Below are 15,151 nucleotides of genomic sequence, written 5' to 3'. Positions count from 1 at the left end.
CCATGAATATGAGATATCTTTCCATTTATTTGGGTTTTTAAAATTTATTTCAACAATGCCTTGTAGTTTTCAATGTACAAATCTTGCATTTCTGTTAAGTTTACTCATAAGTATTGTATTCTTTTATTTATTTATTTATTTATTTATTTATTTATTTATTTATTTATTTGAGATGGAGTTTTGCTCTTGTCACCCAGGCTGGAGTGTAATGGCGCAATCTCAGCTCACTGCAACCTCCACCTCCCAGGTTCAAGCAATTCTCCTGCCCCAGCCTCCCAAGTAGCTGGGATTACAGGCACCCGCCACGATGCTGGGCTAATTTTTGTATTTTTAGTAGAGACAGGGTTTCACCATGTTGGCCAGGCTGGTCTCGGACTCCTGACCTCAGGTGATCCACCCACCGAGGCTCCCAAAGTGATGGGATTACAGGCGTGATCCACCATGCCCGGCCTATTTATTTATTTTTTATTTTACTTTTTGAGATGGAGTCTCACTCTGTTGCCCAGGCTGGAGTGCAGTGGTGCAATCTCAGCTCACTCCAACCTCTGCCTCCCAGGTTCAAGCAATTCTCCTGCCTCAGCCTCCCAAGTAACTGGAATTAGAGGCATGCGCCACCACGCCTGGCTATTTTTGTTTACTTTTTTTTATGTTTTATTTTTAGTAGAGACTGGGTTTCACCTTGTTGGTCAGGCTGGTCTCAAACTCCTGACCTCAGGTGATCCACCCGCCTTGGCCTCCCGAAACGCTGGGATTACAGGCATGAGTCACTGCACCCAGCCAGTACTGTATTCTTCTAGATGCTATTGCAAATAAAATTGTTTTCCTAATTTCATTTTGGGATTGTTCATTTCAAGTGTATGGAAATACAAGAGACTCTTGTTTATTGATCTTATATCCTGCAACCTTGATACACTTATCAGTTTTAATTATTTTATTCCTTAAGATCTTCTATACGCAAAATCACATCATCTGTGAACAAAGATAGTTTTACTTTCTTTCCAATCTGAATTACTTTTATTTCTTTTTCTTTCTTAATTGCCCTGGCTAGAACCTTTGGCGGCAAAAATAGACATACTTGTCCTGTTCCTGCTCTCAGGGAGGAAGTGTTCAGTTTTTCACCATTGAGTATGATGATATTTGTGAGGTTTCCATAAATGCCCTCTATCGTGTTTAGTTTCCTTCTATTCCTAGTTTGTTGAATGTTTTTATTATGAAAGGGTGTTGGATTTTGTTGTGTTTTTCTGTGTCAATTGATATGATTGTGTGGGTTTTTCCCTTTATTTTAGTAATGTAGTGAATTAAATTGATTGATTTTTGCATGTCAAACCATCCTTGCATTCTGGAGATAAGCCCTACTTGGTCATGGTGTATAAGCTTTTTTATATCTTGGTGAATTAAGTTTATTGGTATTTTGTTGAGGATTTCTGCATTTGTATTATTGAAGGATATTGGTGTGTAGTTTTCTTGTTATGTCTTTGTCTGTTATTGGTATCTGGGTGCCAATGAGACACCCAGTCCTCATATGAGGTCTGGCTTTATTGAATGAGTTAAGAAGCATTCCTTCCTTTTCTACGTTTTTGAAGAGTTCACGAAGAATTGGCATTAATCCTTCTTTTCTTCTTTTCTTTTTTTTTTTTTTTTGAGACAGAGTCTTGCTGTGTCTCCCAGGCTGGAGTACAGTGGTGTGATCTCGGTTCACTGCAAGCTCCACCTCCCGGGTTCACGCCATTCTCCTGCCTCAGCCTCCTGAGTAGCTGGGACTACAGGTGCCTGCCACCACGCCTGGCTAATTTTTTTTTAATTTTTAGTAGAGACAGGGTTTCACCGTGTTCACCAGGATGGTCTCGATCTCCTGACCTTGTGATCCGCCCGCCTCAGCCTCCCAAAGTGCTGGGATTACAGGCGTGAGCCACTGTGCCCGGCTGGCATTAATTCTTCTTTAAATGTTTCATAGAACTCACCAGTGAAGCCGTCTGGGTTTGTTTTTTGTTTTGTTTGTTTGTTCTCATTCATATTCATATAATCAGTGGTTAGCAAAGGCCTGTCTGGGTGTTGAGTATGGGGCACCATGGAATATAAGGACTTTTTTATTTCACTAGGATCTTGATGTGTTCACCAGACAGGCCTTCAGAGCACCTGGCTGGAGCCACATTCTACAGAGTCACAAAGTGAGATTAAGCCTTCTGCCATGCAGTGGAAAGGAAATGCACCCTCAGCCCTAGGGCAGTAAAGACACACTCACCATCATCCAGAATGACCAGCAGTGGAGCCAGAAGATCACACATGCCCTGGACATAGCCGATCTCAATGTGCTGCCAGATGTAGCTAGAAGAGACACAAGGGGCCAATGATGGCAGCCGTGGCCTGCCTCTCCAACCCACTCCACCTTCTGTTCCTCCTGCTTCGGTCCCCAATCCCTCACCTGGACCCCTCCCTCAGCCTCCTGCCTGCATCTCCATCCCCGATCTCTCTCTTCAAACATCCTATGTGCAGCCACCAGGATGACCTCCCTAAAGGCCAACTCAGGAGGCCTCTTCAGGCTCAAAACTTGCACAAGCACCCTGCTGTCTGATGGGATGTTATCCAAACTCCTTTACTGGGGGTACAAGGAGTAATGGCCTCCTCTCAACTCATCTTCACAGCCTCAAACATCGCTTCCCACTGTCTTCCTCTCCAGCAACATTGACGTATTCACTTTGCACAAAAAAATCACAAATTTATGTTTCTGTATCTTTGCCTTACAGCTCCCTTTGTCAGGAATTGCAATCTGTCCCTTACTAATAACAGCTTATATTTATCGAGCTCTTACTGTATACTCAACCCACTATTTTCTTTTTCTTTTTTTTTTTTTTGAGACGGAGTCTCACTGTTGCTCAGGCTGGAGTGCAGTGGCGTGATCTCTGCTCACTGCAGGCTCCGCCCCCTGGGTTCACGACATTCTCCTGCCTCAGCCTCCCGAGTAGCTGGGACTACAGGCGCCCGCCACCTCGCCCAGCTAATTTTTTGTATTTTTAGTAGAGATGGGATTTCACCATGTTAGCCAGGATGGTCTCGATCTCCTGACCTCATGACCCGCCCGTCTCGGCCTCCCAAAGTGCTGGGATTACAGGCGTGAGACACTGCGCCCGGCCTCTCAACCCACTATTTTCAAAATAGTCATGTGAAACATGGACTATCCCATTTCACAGGCATGAGCCATTGCACCCAGCCTGAATGTACACATTTTTTAAATGTACATTTAAAAAATGTCCATGGATTATCCCATTTCACAGATGAGGGGACTGAAGCATAGACAGGTAAATGACATGTCCCAAATCATACACTTAATAATAAGTGGCAGAGGCAGTACTTGAACCTAGGAGGCCTTACTCAAGGATATATGATCTTAGCCTCTATGCTAAATGGTTTCTTTAGTTTTCTTTTTCTTTTTCCTTTTTTTTTTTTTTTTCTTTTTGTTGAGACAGAGTTTTGTTCTTGTTGCCCATGCTGGAGTGCAATGGTGCAATCTTGGCTCACTGCAACCTCCACTTCCCCGGTTCAAGCAATTCCCCTGTCTCAGCCTCCTGAGTAGCTGGGATTACAGGTGTGTGCCACCACACCTGGCTAATTTTTGTATTTTTAGTAGAGACAGGGTTTCGCCATGTTGGCCAGGCTGGTCTCGAACTCCTGACCTCAGGTGATCTGGCCGCCTCGACCTCCCATGAGCCGCCGTGCCCAGCCTATGGTTTCTTTAGTTTTCTTAACGTTGTCAAAATCCATCTCAAAGGTCACCACCACTGTGAAGTCTTCCATGATTTCTCCCTATGCCTTAACCAGGGAGGAGTCAGTTTATTTTTACTTCTTCCCAGCATTTTTTTCATTTTAATGTAACACTTATGAGACTATATCATAGTTTAAAACATTTAAAAAATATGTACATTCAGGCTGGGTGCGATGGCTCATGACTGTAATCCTAGCACTTGGGAGGTCAAGGCAGGTGGATTGCCTGAGCTCAGGAGTTCAAGACCAGCCTGGGCAACATGGTGAAACCCCATCTCTACTACAATACAAAAAATTAGCCGGGCCTGGCAGCGTGCACCTATAGTCCCAGCTACTCGGGAGGCTGAGGTAGGAGAATTGCTTGAACCCAGGAGGCGGAGATTGCAGTGAGCCGAGATCGCACCACTGTACTCCAGCCTGGGCAACAGAGCGAGACTCCATCTCCATTAAAAAAAAAAAAAAGTACATTCATATTATGTTATACAATATACAATCAATTAGATATTACTAAATTGTTAGTAGTCATTAATTCTGGGTGAGTGGCACTGCCGGGCAGAGATGAAGGGAGAAGTTTCTCTTTCTATCTTATGAACTTCTAATTTCTTTGATTTAGATTTTTGTTTTGTTTTGAGACAGGGTCTCATTCTGTTGCCCGGGCTGGAGTGCAGTTGTGTGATCACAGTTCATTGTTGCCTCAACCTCCCAGGTTCAAGCCATCCTGCTGCCTCAGCCTCCCAAAGTAGCTACGACTATAGGCGTATACAATCATGCCTGGCTAATTTATTAAAACTTTTGTAGAGATGGGGTCTTGTTATGTTGCCCAGACTGGGTCTTAAACTCTTGGCCTCAAGCAATCCTCCTGCCTTGGCCTCCCAAAGTGCTGGGATTAGAGTTGTCAGTGATTTAGATTTTTAACAAGCATGGGTTACTTTCATATTTTAAGAAATATCAATAATTATTTTTATTATTTTTATTACTTTTTAAGAGATGGGGTCTTACTCTGTCACCCAGGCTGGAGTACAATGGTGTAATCATAGCTCACTACAACCCTCTAACCTCTAGGCTCAAGCTATCCTCCTGCCTCCACCTCCCAAGTATGCAGGACTACAAGTGCATGCCACTATGTCCAGCTAAATGTTGAGTTAAAAAAAATTATTTTGTAGTGATAGGGTCTCACTATGTTGCCAGGCCAGTCTCTACTTTTTTGAAGTCTGTGAAGAACTCAAGTGGCCTCAAGTGATCCTCCCACGTCAGCTTCCCAAAGTGCTGGGATTACAGGAATAATATCTTTTTAGTGAACAGTAATAACCAGTCGTAGATCTTGGCTTAAAGAAAAATAGAAAAAGGACAGATTCTACAGCCAGAGACATGGCTATGAGTTCCCGCTCAGCCACTGCCCGATGCCCACTCAGCAATGAGGCTCTTCCTGGAGCCTCCACATCGTCACCTATAAAAGGGGTTAATACCTCGTCGGGTTGAGGAATAAGTGAGCGATGATAGTACAGGCCTCAGGACAGTGGCTGGTATACAGTAAGTGCTTAATAAATGTTCTATATTATTGTTGTTAAATTTTCACTGTGGGCTAAGTAAGATTCCAGGTGAGTATGATGCCAGCTTCAGAAGCTGAAATAACTTCTAGGCGGGCCCCCTACATCCCCCATCCCACCCACCCACCATCCCCATCCCCTAGATCCCCTCGCTGTCCCCAGCCACCTGCACATGATGTTACGCAGCTTCTCCAAGTTGGCGGGCGTGAAGTACCAGTAGTTGCGGTCGCACCTCTGCACATCCTTCTCGATGCGGTGCAGGTTCACCGTGTACAGATCCAGCAGCTCTGGCTATAGGCCATCGGGGCAGGGGGTAGGGGGAAGAAATGAAAAATCACATCTAAGTCCCCACTGGAAAGCAGCAATCCTATCTCCTCTTCCTAACCCTCTCCTGTTGTCACTGAAAATACATCTCCCACCTGGACCAGCCAGGTGTTTGATTTTGTTTGTTTGTTTTCTGGGAGGGTGTGTTTAATTTGCAGGATGAAAATTCTCCCTCAGAGAGTTACAACTATAGCTGGAAGTGAACCTCTCTCTGCTGAAAACTGGACAAGGAGAATGAAGAACTGCACAGAGGGCAAATTCTGGTAACGTACTGGCCTGGCTGCTTGAACAAGTACCTTAATTTCAAAATGGCTCAATGATGTGGCAAGAAAATAAGAAATATTTAAGGACCAAAAACTAACTCAGAAAGGTGAGAAAACACCAAAGCTGGCCTTTGCCTTAAGGAAAGCTGCCAAAGTGGGAAAATTTAAGCTTAGATTTGATTGGTTTTTGCTCCCCTACTCAAGTTGAAGATCTAATAAGAGACCTTCCTACAGGAAGGTAGGGCCCTAAGGAGTCACACCCTCAGAAAGGGAAAACTAGAAAAACCCACTAATATCTTGGGATCTCAAAACAATTGCCTGCCCGCAGTGACAGCAATATTTTTCATCCACAGTTCACCTCATGAATGTTGTCACTTTGGGTCTGAGTGAAACAGTTACAATACCTGACTGATTATACCTTGAACATAGTTATTAAATTAAATGTAAATGTTATCTCCCTGCATAATTAAGAGCCACAAGTCAGGTTTGTAACTCATGCGGTTTATAACCCAAACTCCCATTACCTGGGTGGTCTGAAAGATCAGAGAATGTAGTTGTCATCTCATATTTGTTATTTCCCTGGCACTAGAAAGAAGCAGAAGAAAACCCCTCTCTTGAGGAATCTACCTTCCACCTGGGTCTTAAATAGTACAGCAGATAATATCCCAAGAAATATGAGCTCATGTTCAAAAATCATGAAACACTCAGAGAAAGAAGGTGCCAGGAGTGATGGTTGGCATAAATACAAGAAAACAGAATCAGAGCCATCAGGGCCTCAGTTGTTAGAAGTATCAGAAACAGATCATAAAATAAGTATGTTTACTGTATTTAAAGAAATAAGGCGGGGCGCCGTGGCTCATGCCTGTAATCCCAGCACTTTGGGAGGCCGAGGCGGGCGGATCACTTGAGGTCGAGAGTTTGAGACCAGCCTGACCAACATGGAGAAAACCCATCTCTACTAAAAATACAAAATCAGCCGGGCGTGGGTGCGTGCTTGTAATCCCAGCTACTCGGGAGGCTGAGGCAGGAGAATCGCTTGAACCCGGGAGGCGGAGGTTGCGGTGAGTCGAGATCACGCCATTGCACTCCAGCCTGGGCAACAAGAGCGAAACTCTGTCTCAAAAATACAGAAAGAAAGAAAGAAAGAAAGAAAGAAAGAAAGAAAGAAAGAAAGAAAGAAAGAAAGAAAGAAAGAAGAGGTTAACAATAAGAACAAAAGCTGGGGTGCACTGGTTCATGCCTGTCATTCCAACACTCTGGGAGGTCACAGCGGGTAGATCACTTGAGGCCAGTTCAAGACCAGCCTGAGCAACATGGCAAAACCCCATCTCTATAAAAAATACAAAAAATTAGCCAGGCATGGTGGTACAGCCCTGTAGTCCCAGCTACTTGTGGGGCTGAGGTGGGAGGAAGGATTGCTTGAGCCCAGGAGGTGAAGGCTGCAGTGATTGCGCCACTGCCCTCCAAATCACGCACAGAAGGAGACTATTTCAAAAAAAAAAAAAAAGCAAGAGACTATAAAATAATCAAGTAAGTCATTTTATAGCATATTTGAAGAAAGGCCAAATAAAATGTTAAAAAATATATTAAACACTAGAGATAGGTGACAGAAAATAAAACATTCTGGAAGAGAGAATTACTGAATTGAAAGGAGATCTGAACAAACAATCCAGAATTCAGCACAGAAGGACAAAGAAATGATAAAAAAGAGAAGCAAGCTAGGCATGGAGGCTCACGCCTGTAATCCCAGCACTTTGGGAGGCCAAGGCAGGCAGATCACGAGGTCAGCAGATCGAGACCATCCTGGCCAACCCGGTGAAACCCTATCTCTACTAAAAACACAAAAAATTAGCCGGGCGTGGTGGCGGGCGCCTGTAGTCCTTCTACTTGGGAGGCTGAGGCAAGAGAATGGCATGAATTCGGGACGCAGAGGTTGCAGTGAGCCGAGATCACGCCACTGCACTCCAGCCTAGGTGACAGAGCGAGACCCTGTCTCAATTAAAAAAAAAAAAAAAAAAGAAAAGAAAAGCAAAAAATGTGGAAGCCACTGAGGTATGTGCTTCATCTAAATAAGAGAGTAGACTAAGAAAGAGGAAAACATGACTGACACAAAAGGAAGCTCAAGATCAGGACGAGGAAGATTGTGAATGATAATGACACATCAGGTGCAGTGGAGTGGAGGGCATCAGTAGGCTTTTGGGGAGAAGTCCTTGGACACACAGAACAAATGAAAAACATGATATGTCTAAATGTTTGAAAAGAGATTTAGGAAAGTGGCAAAGACTTCTGGGGGTGAACTGACTTTAAATATGCAGCAAACTAAGAAAAAGAAAACAGGAAAAGGAAAACACATCTAGGAAAAACAAATTTTTTTACAGGAAAGACAAAAATTAGGACAGTTTACTACATGGCTTACCTATTACTCTGTTAAAATAATGCAAGCACTGACATTTACAGTAGTTGCATAAAATATTATAACACTGTACACGTTTTTTTTTTTTTTTTTTTTTTTTTTGAGATCTTGCTCTGTTGTCCAGGCTGGAATGCAGTGGTGCGATCTCGGCTCACTGCAAGCTCCGCCTCCCGGGTTCACGCCATTCTCTTGCCTCAGCCTCCCAAGTAGCTGGTACTACAGGTGCCTGCCACCACGCCCGGCTAATTTTTTGTACTTTTAGTAGAGACAGGTTTTCACCATGTTAGCCAGGATGGTCTCGATCTTCTGACTTCGTGATCCACCCCCCTCAGCCTCCCAAAGTGCTGGGATTACAGGTGTGAGCCACAGTGCCCAGCCCCCCTTTTTAAATGCTACGTTATCTTCTCTCCCAAATGGGTTTCTACAGTGAATCCTCCATGACGGAAAAAATGCAACGAACCAGAGGTCTGACTCCGGGGTCATTCTGGATAACAGGCTTGTAGTACATCCCACCCTCCTGCAGCTGGAAAGAAGGAAATGGAACGGAGGGTCCTGGTGACTTACAGAGTAGGTGACGCCGCTGGAAGACACAGGGGACACCTCGTTGGCAGAAGTAGTCACAGCCAGAGAAGCCAGGGCAGGGAAGAGACTTTCCATCTCAGGCTCCTCCGAGAGGTTGTCCTCACTGTCCGCCTGGCCATGTTTCTCTGTCTCGCTGCTCCTCCAGCCCTCCATCACAACATCGTCCTTTTCAGGCAGGGCCATGTCCAGGCTGCCCGTGATGGACATGAACTCGTCCATGCTCTCGTTGGCCAGGAGGTCACTCTCCAGGCTGTCCTGCACGGCCAGCTCCTCCCGGGGAGCCTCATCCTGAGATGTGGTGGCCTCGCTGCTCTGCCTGTCATCCACGCTGCCATCCCTAGGTCGCAGCACCGTGGGGGTGTTCCGCTGGGCGTCCAAGACACTGTCTTCTGTGCTCAGACTGGGCTCTGAGTGCTCTGAGAGGCCCGAGGAGAAGTTATGGGAGGAAGGATGACCCGAGTCTGGGGAACAAGTGCCGTTCACTAGGTTCCCATTGGGGATCTTGGGCTGTTTCTCCTCCAATCTGCCTTCAGCCTCCACCTGCTCCACCTCATCCACAGACTCAAACACCTGAGGACAAGGTGCACAAAAACAGATGGACCGGCATGTCGACTGCAGCATTACTTACATCAGCAACCTAAACATCCAACAACAGGTGATCGGCTTAAATATGGATCAAGCATGCAGTGGAATACCATACAGTCAGTGAAAAGAACGAGGCAAAACAAGGTGTAATATACGCTCCCATTTGTGACAAATAAGAAAGTGATCTAGGCTGGGCATGGTGGCTCACGCCTGCAATCCCAGAACTTTGGGAGGCCAAGGCAGGTGGACTGCTTGAACCCAAGAGTTTGACACCAGCCTGGGCAACACGGTGAAACCTGGTCTCTGCAAAAAATACAAAAAATTAGCCTGGTATGGTGGCACACACATGTGGTCTCAGCTACTTGAGGGGCTGAGGTGGGAGAATCACCCAAGCCTGGGGAGTCAAGACTTCAGTGAGCTGTGACCATCATGCCACTGCACTCCAGCCTGGGTGATGGGAGTGAGACTCTGTCTCAAACAGCAATAAAAAAGTGATCTATGTGCTTGTGTATGCATAAAATAATCCACAAAGAGACAAAAAAGTACTGCAGTTGACTCTGTTTTGTCTTGTTTTCTGAGATGGAGTTTCTCTCTTGTTGCCCAGGCTGGAGTGCAGTGGCACAATCTTGGCTCACTGCAACCTCCACCTCCCGGGATCAAGTGATTCTCCTGCCTCAGCCTCCCGAGTAGCTGGGATTACAGGCACTCGCCACCATGCCTGGCTGATTTTTGCATTTTTATTAGAGATGGGGTTTCACCATGTTGGCCAGGCTGGTCTCGAACTCCTGACCTCAGGTGATCTGCCCACCTCGGCCTCCCAGAGTGCTGTGATTACAGGCGTGAGCCACCACGCCCCGCGTGCAGTTGACTCTGAGAAGGGGGTACTAGGGAATCAAAATAAGGGGAGACAATAACTTTTCATCATATAGACTTTTACCATGTGTACCTAATTTTATTTTTATGTATGTATTTATTTATTTAAGATGGAGTCTCGCTCTGTTGCCCAGGCTGGAGTGAAGTGGCACGATCTTGGCTCACCACAACCTCCGCCTCCCGGGTTCAAGCAATTTTCCTGCCCCAGCCTCCCAAGTAGCTTGGATTACAGGCATGTGCCACCATGCCCAGCTAGTTTTTGTATTTTTAGTAGAGTCAGGGTTTCACCATGCTGGCCAGGCTGGTCTTGAACTGCTGATCTCAGGTCATTGACCTGCCTCGGCCTCCCAGAGTGCTGGGATTACAGGCATGAGCCACCGTGCCCAGCCTCATGTATACATAATTTTTCTCATTCAAAAAATTAGTTAACACACGGAAAAGGCAAAAAAAAAAAAACCAAAAAACAAAAAATAAAAAAACCCTATTACTTTTACACCCAGGTGGTTGACTATTATGAATCAATTTTTCAAGTTAGATATACATGAAATACTATGAAAAAAATCTCCAGAATACATTTTAGAGATTTTTTTGTGACTCTTTGTGTTCTTGGATCATATCAAGGGTACACAGTTAAAGATCATGTTCCAAAGTCACCTGAAATATTTCTTCCCTGTGTGGTTATGTCACCAACTTGATTTATGGTTAGTTTCATGTGTTTCTGTGTTTTCAAAAACTTCTTTTTGATTCAATTGATTTTAATTATGTAAAAAGTTTACCTAGCTTCAGAGTCAAAACCAGAGTTTTTTTTTTACTCCAAAATCAAAATTAGGAAGCAAGGCATATTCAAGGAAATGTAGCTTCTGTCTCTGCCCCCTCCTCTCTCGGTAATCATTCTGATTCGTTTCTGGTTGCTCCTCATACCATTCTCAAAAATGGAGGCAAATATATACAGATATTAATATTGCCTCTTCTTACACAAAAGGTGACAACACACTATGCATGTTTTTGCACTTGGCTTTGTGTGTGCGTGTGTGTGAGACAGGGTTTCACTCTGTCACCCAGGCTGGAGTGCAGTGGCGTGATCATGGCTCACTGCAGCCTCAACCTCCTGGGCCCTGGTGATTCTCCCACCTTAGCCTCCGGAGCAGCTGGGACTACAGGCACGCACCACCATGCCCAACTGATTTTTTTCGTATTTTTTGTAGAGACAGGGTTTTGCCATGTTGCCCAGACTGGGTTTAAGCTCCTGGGCTTAAGCTATCTGCCTACCTTGGCCTCCCAAAGTGCTGGGATTACAAGTGTGAACTACCATGCCCAGCCAGCTTTTTTCTTTAAAAACGGAGTGAGATTGAGTTATCTCTTTTCACCAATTGAAACGGAAAGTTGTTGAACAACATATATGATGGCATTTATGTACACATTTAAAAAACAACTACCAAACATTGCTATAGATTATATATTTCTGTGTATGTATATGCATACAGAAGGTTTTGAAAGGAACACAGCAAACTCATGATAGTGGTGTTATTTCAAGAGAGGGCAGGCAGAGATTAAGGACGATCAAAGCAGACTTTGACTTTCTCTACAATGTTTTAGTTTTTTGCAGGGGTGATAGATCCATATATTTCTTGCATTACTAAACAAAAAACAAAAAACAATGTTTAATGCTAATATAAAAAGCTAAAACAAATAAAGCAAAAAGTGACCTACAGATGACGGACACCCAACCCCCATGACCCCAGGCAGAAGGGAGAGGAGTGGGTGGGAGGGGGCGAGGCCTCCACAAGGTCACCTGTGTGCTGCTGCTGGAGTCGCTGTGCAGGCGGATGTTCTGGCGGCCCGAACTGCAGCTCTGGGAGGACTGAGAAAAGAAAGAGCAGGAGGGAGGGAGGGTGAGGCTGCACCCTGGCCCAGAGCAGGAAGGACTGCTGGGCTGGGAGCCAGAAAGTCTAGTTGCATCTCTATTCCTAACTTGCACAAGTCCTCTCTCAGAGCATCAGTTTCCTAGCTGTAAAATGAAAGGGGGGCACCACTCCCTGCTTCCTGGAGCCTCTTCAGAGACCGCTTTGACCTCTGGGTTCCCACCTCTCACCTCTGCAACTAGAGCACCCCACCTTTAACTGCTCTGTAATTGAGACTTCTGGCCAATATTTCAGTTCAACTCACAGAGTAACTGGTTCTATTAATGGCTCCACTTTTTTTTTTCCCATGATCCCTGTATACATGCTTCTGCCCTATAACCTCATAGTCCTTGCCTACTCTGACACTAGACTTGGCCATGTGGCTTGCTTTTGTCAATGGGATGTTAACAAACTTGACTCAGCAGAGGCTTAGAACACCCTTGTGCATTTCCGCTTTCTCTCTGTGGCATCTGCTTTCACCGTGAGAGCACGTCCAGGTTAACTTGCTGGGCAGTGAGCCACGTGGAGCACAGCTGAGTCACCCCAGGCAAATACGAGAGCCCAACCAAGATAAACAAATGTTTTAGTTGACCAGTTACGGACAGCTGGTGCCAGAATAAGCCTCGCCTAGCCCAGTTAAGAACAGAACTTGCCAGCTGACCCAGAGTTGTGAGCAAAAATAAACGCTGACTGTTGGAAGTCATTGATTTTTGGTGGTTGTTTGTTACACACTGTTATTGTGGCAATTGATGACTGATATCATCACTGCTGAAGAAAATTAACTTTTTTTTGAGAGGGAGTTTCGCTCGTTGCCCGTGCTGGAGTGCAGTGATGCAATCTCGGCTTGCTGCAACTTCCGCCTCCCGGGTTTAAGTGATTCTCCTGCCTCGGCCTCTCAAGTAGCTGGGATTACAGGCGCTCAGCTAATTTTTGTATTTTTAGCAGAGATGGGGTTTCACCATGTTGGCCAAGGCTGGTCTTGAACTCCTGACCTCAGGTGATCCACCCGCCTTGGCCTCCCAAAGTACTGGGATTACAGGCGTGAGCCACCACCCTCAGTCAAGGGTGGTGAGATCCTACTTTTTACTGAGATCCTACTTTGGGCTATTAAACTGGAAGTTCTGGGAGGACAGACCAGTCTGTCTGGGTCACTGGAACATTCCTGATATCCCAGGATATTCCTGATAGTACCTGCACATAGTAGATACTCAATAAGCATTTGTTGAATCAATGAAAGTCAGGCAGTGCGCCAGGCACTTTATATACATTGTCTTGTTTGGACTGTACACGAACCTCCTCTACACCTGATTATTCCCATTTTACAGATGCAGAAAACTGAGGCCCAGAAGAAAAGGTACTGGTAGGGAACCCCAGAACTACTAAATGGTGGGACTAGAGTTTGAATTCAGGTCTGATTCCAAAGTCACCGCACACTCTTAAAGAAAAAGCCAGGGGTGAGACTGTCACCAGGCCCCAGACACCCAGTCTTCACCACTCTTAGAACAGCCCAATGAAGCAGACCCTGACCTTCCCCAGCCCCCGCGCTCCCCGAGGCCAGCCGCCCATCACCTCATTGCTGATGGTTGAGTCCCTGTGCAACATCCGGTGCAGGTGGCTGTCCAAGCTGGCCCCGGATGAGCATTTGGCCAGGGCGGCCGCATGGGACTCCCGCTCCCTCTGCCGCACGATCGCCTCGCAGCCCAGCCACTCAGCCATGGTCTGTGCATAGCAGGCATGAATCTGCTCGTCCACCTGCCAGGGCAGATGCAATGTCACCCGAGGTGTCAACAAAGGGGCGCCTGGGGAGGGCCAGACCAACGTGGAAGAGAGTGGCTCTGATCCATCCAACATTCACGCAGTTAACATCCAGCAGATATTAACTGAGCACCTACTATGCTATGCCTAGCACTGGTTAGGCTCTGAAGACACAAAGGGAGCAAGGCTACTTCTTTCCTTATTTCCCTCCTTCCTTTATTCATTCATGCATACATATATAAATTTCAACTATTCATTGAGTCCTTACTATGTGCTAGATAGTACATAGGCCCTGGGGATACAAAAGTGAGAAGACTGTTTCTATTTTTCTTTCCCTCCCCCCCCTCCGCTTCCTTCCTTCCTTCCTTTCTTTCTTGACAGAGTATGGCTCTGTCACCAGGCTGGAGTGCTGTAGCACAATCTTGACTCACTGCAGCCTCCCGGGTTCAAATGATTCTCCTGCCTCAGCCTCCTGAGTAGCTGGGACTACAGGCATGCGCCACCACGCCCAGCTAATTTTTGTATTTTTTTTTTTTTTTTTTTAGTAGAGACGGGGTTTCACCTTGTTGGCCAGGATGGTCTTGATCTCTTGACCTCGTGATCCGCCCGCCTCAGCCTCCCAAAGTGCTGGGATTACAGGTGTGAGCCACTGCGCCCGGCCAAAAGTGAGAAGACTGTTTCTTTCTTTTTTACTACCTTCCCTCTCTCTTTACTCATTCATTCATCCATTCATTCACTCACTCAATTTGATAAGTACCTATTACATACCAGGCACCAAACTAGCCATATGGAATACAAGATGAGCAAGATGCTGACCTTCCCCCACCTATCCACTCAATCAACGCATGACCTGAGGGCCTCCCATGTACCCCACATGGGCTACAGGTGCTGAGGATACAATACAAATAAAACCAACCCGCTTCCTTTCCTTACAGCAATGGCCTTACAGAAGGGCCACAGATTTCCAGCTTTTTCCTTGTGGGATTCAGCAAAGAGGTGGGGAGCTTCCATTGTCCCTGAGTAACACAGCCCAGGTAACAGGCTCTGCGTCTGCCAGACCTCTGGGCACCACGGGGACGGATTGGCTGATCTAGGTAAGGAGAGCCAGGATGGGAAAAGAGAGGGTGGGGAGCCCGACCCTCTCCTATG

At 45.9% G+C, this 15,151-nt stretch overlaps 1 protein-coding gene and 1 non-coding gene across 5 annotated transcripts in view, besides 2 other annotated features; one reads left to right on the top strand and one right to left on the bottom strand.

Moving 5' to 3' along the window:
* Positions 1–15,151, bottom strand: part of SGSM1 (small G protein signaling modulator 1) — a 121,368-nt gene that overhangs the window by 20,149 nt on the left and 86,068 nt on the right. For 2 of the 4 annotated variants that reach the window (NM_001039948.4, NM_001098497.3), the window contains 5 exons: positions 13,817–13,999; positions 12,139–12,207; positions 8,871–9,458; positions 5,473–5,597; positions 2,243–2,325 (listed from right to left, as the gene is read on the bottom strand). In NM_001039948.4, coding sequence (NP_001035037.1) covers positions 2,243–2,325; positions 5,473–5,597; positions 8,871–9,458; positions 12,139–12,207; positions 13,817–13,999 — 1,048 coding nt within the window. The remainder of the gene's footprint in view (positions 1–2,242; positions 2,326–5,472; positions 5,598–8,870; positions 9,459–12,138; positions 12,208–13,816; positions 14,000–15,151) is intronic. The other 2 variants (NM_133454.4, NM_001098498.3) reach the window with 1 other exon arrangement.
* On the top strand, positions 6,216–6,283 carry LOC124900481 (small nucleolar RNA SNORD56). The gene has a single exon (XR_007068171.1). It is a non-coding gene; the product is annotated as a small nucleolar RNA SNORD56 (small nucleolar RNA).
* Positions 8,662–9,162: an enhancer, noted in NCBI's record as "H3K4me1 hESC enhancer chr22:25294235-25294735 (GRCh37/hg19 assembly coordinates)". NCBI's record gives its function as "activates a minimal SCP1, AML or CMV promoter by ChIP-STARR-seq in primed H9 embryonic stem cells {active_cell/tissue: H9 hESC(primed)}" and the evidence as "EXISTENCE:reporter gene assay evidence [ECO:0000049][PMID:30033119]".
* Positions 9,163–9,663: an enhancer, noted in NCBI's record as "H3K4me1 hESC enhancer chr22:25293734-25294234 (GRCh37/hg19 assembly coordinates)". NCBI's record gives its function as "activates a minimal SCP1, AML or CMV promoter by ChIP-STARR-seq in naive and primed H9 embryonic stem cells {active_cell/tissue: H9 hESC(naive and primed)}" and the evidence as "EXISTENCE:reporter gene assay evidence [ECO:0000049][PMID:30033119]".

Source organism: Homo sapiens, chromosome 22 (assembly GCF_000001405.40).
Source record: "Homo sapiens chromosome 22, GRCh38.p14 Primary Assembly".
Taxonomy (NCBI): domain Eukaryota; kingdom Metazoa; phylum Chordata; class Mammalia; order Primates; family Hominidae; genus Homo; species Homo sapiens.
The sequence above is the reverse complement of the archived record's forward strand: the minus strand, read 5'-3'. Positions and strand labels throughout refer to the sequence as shown.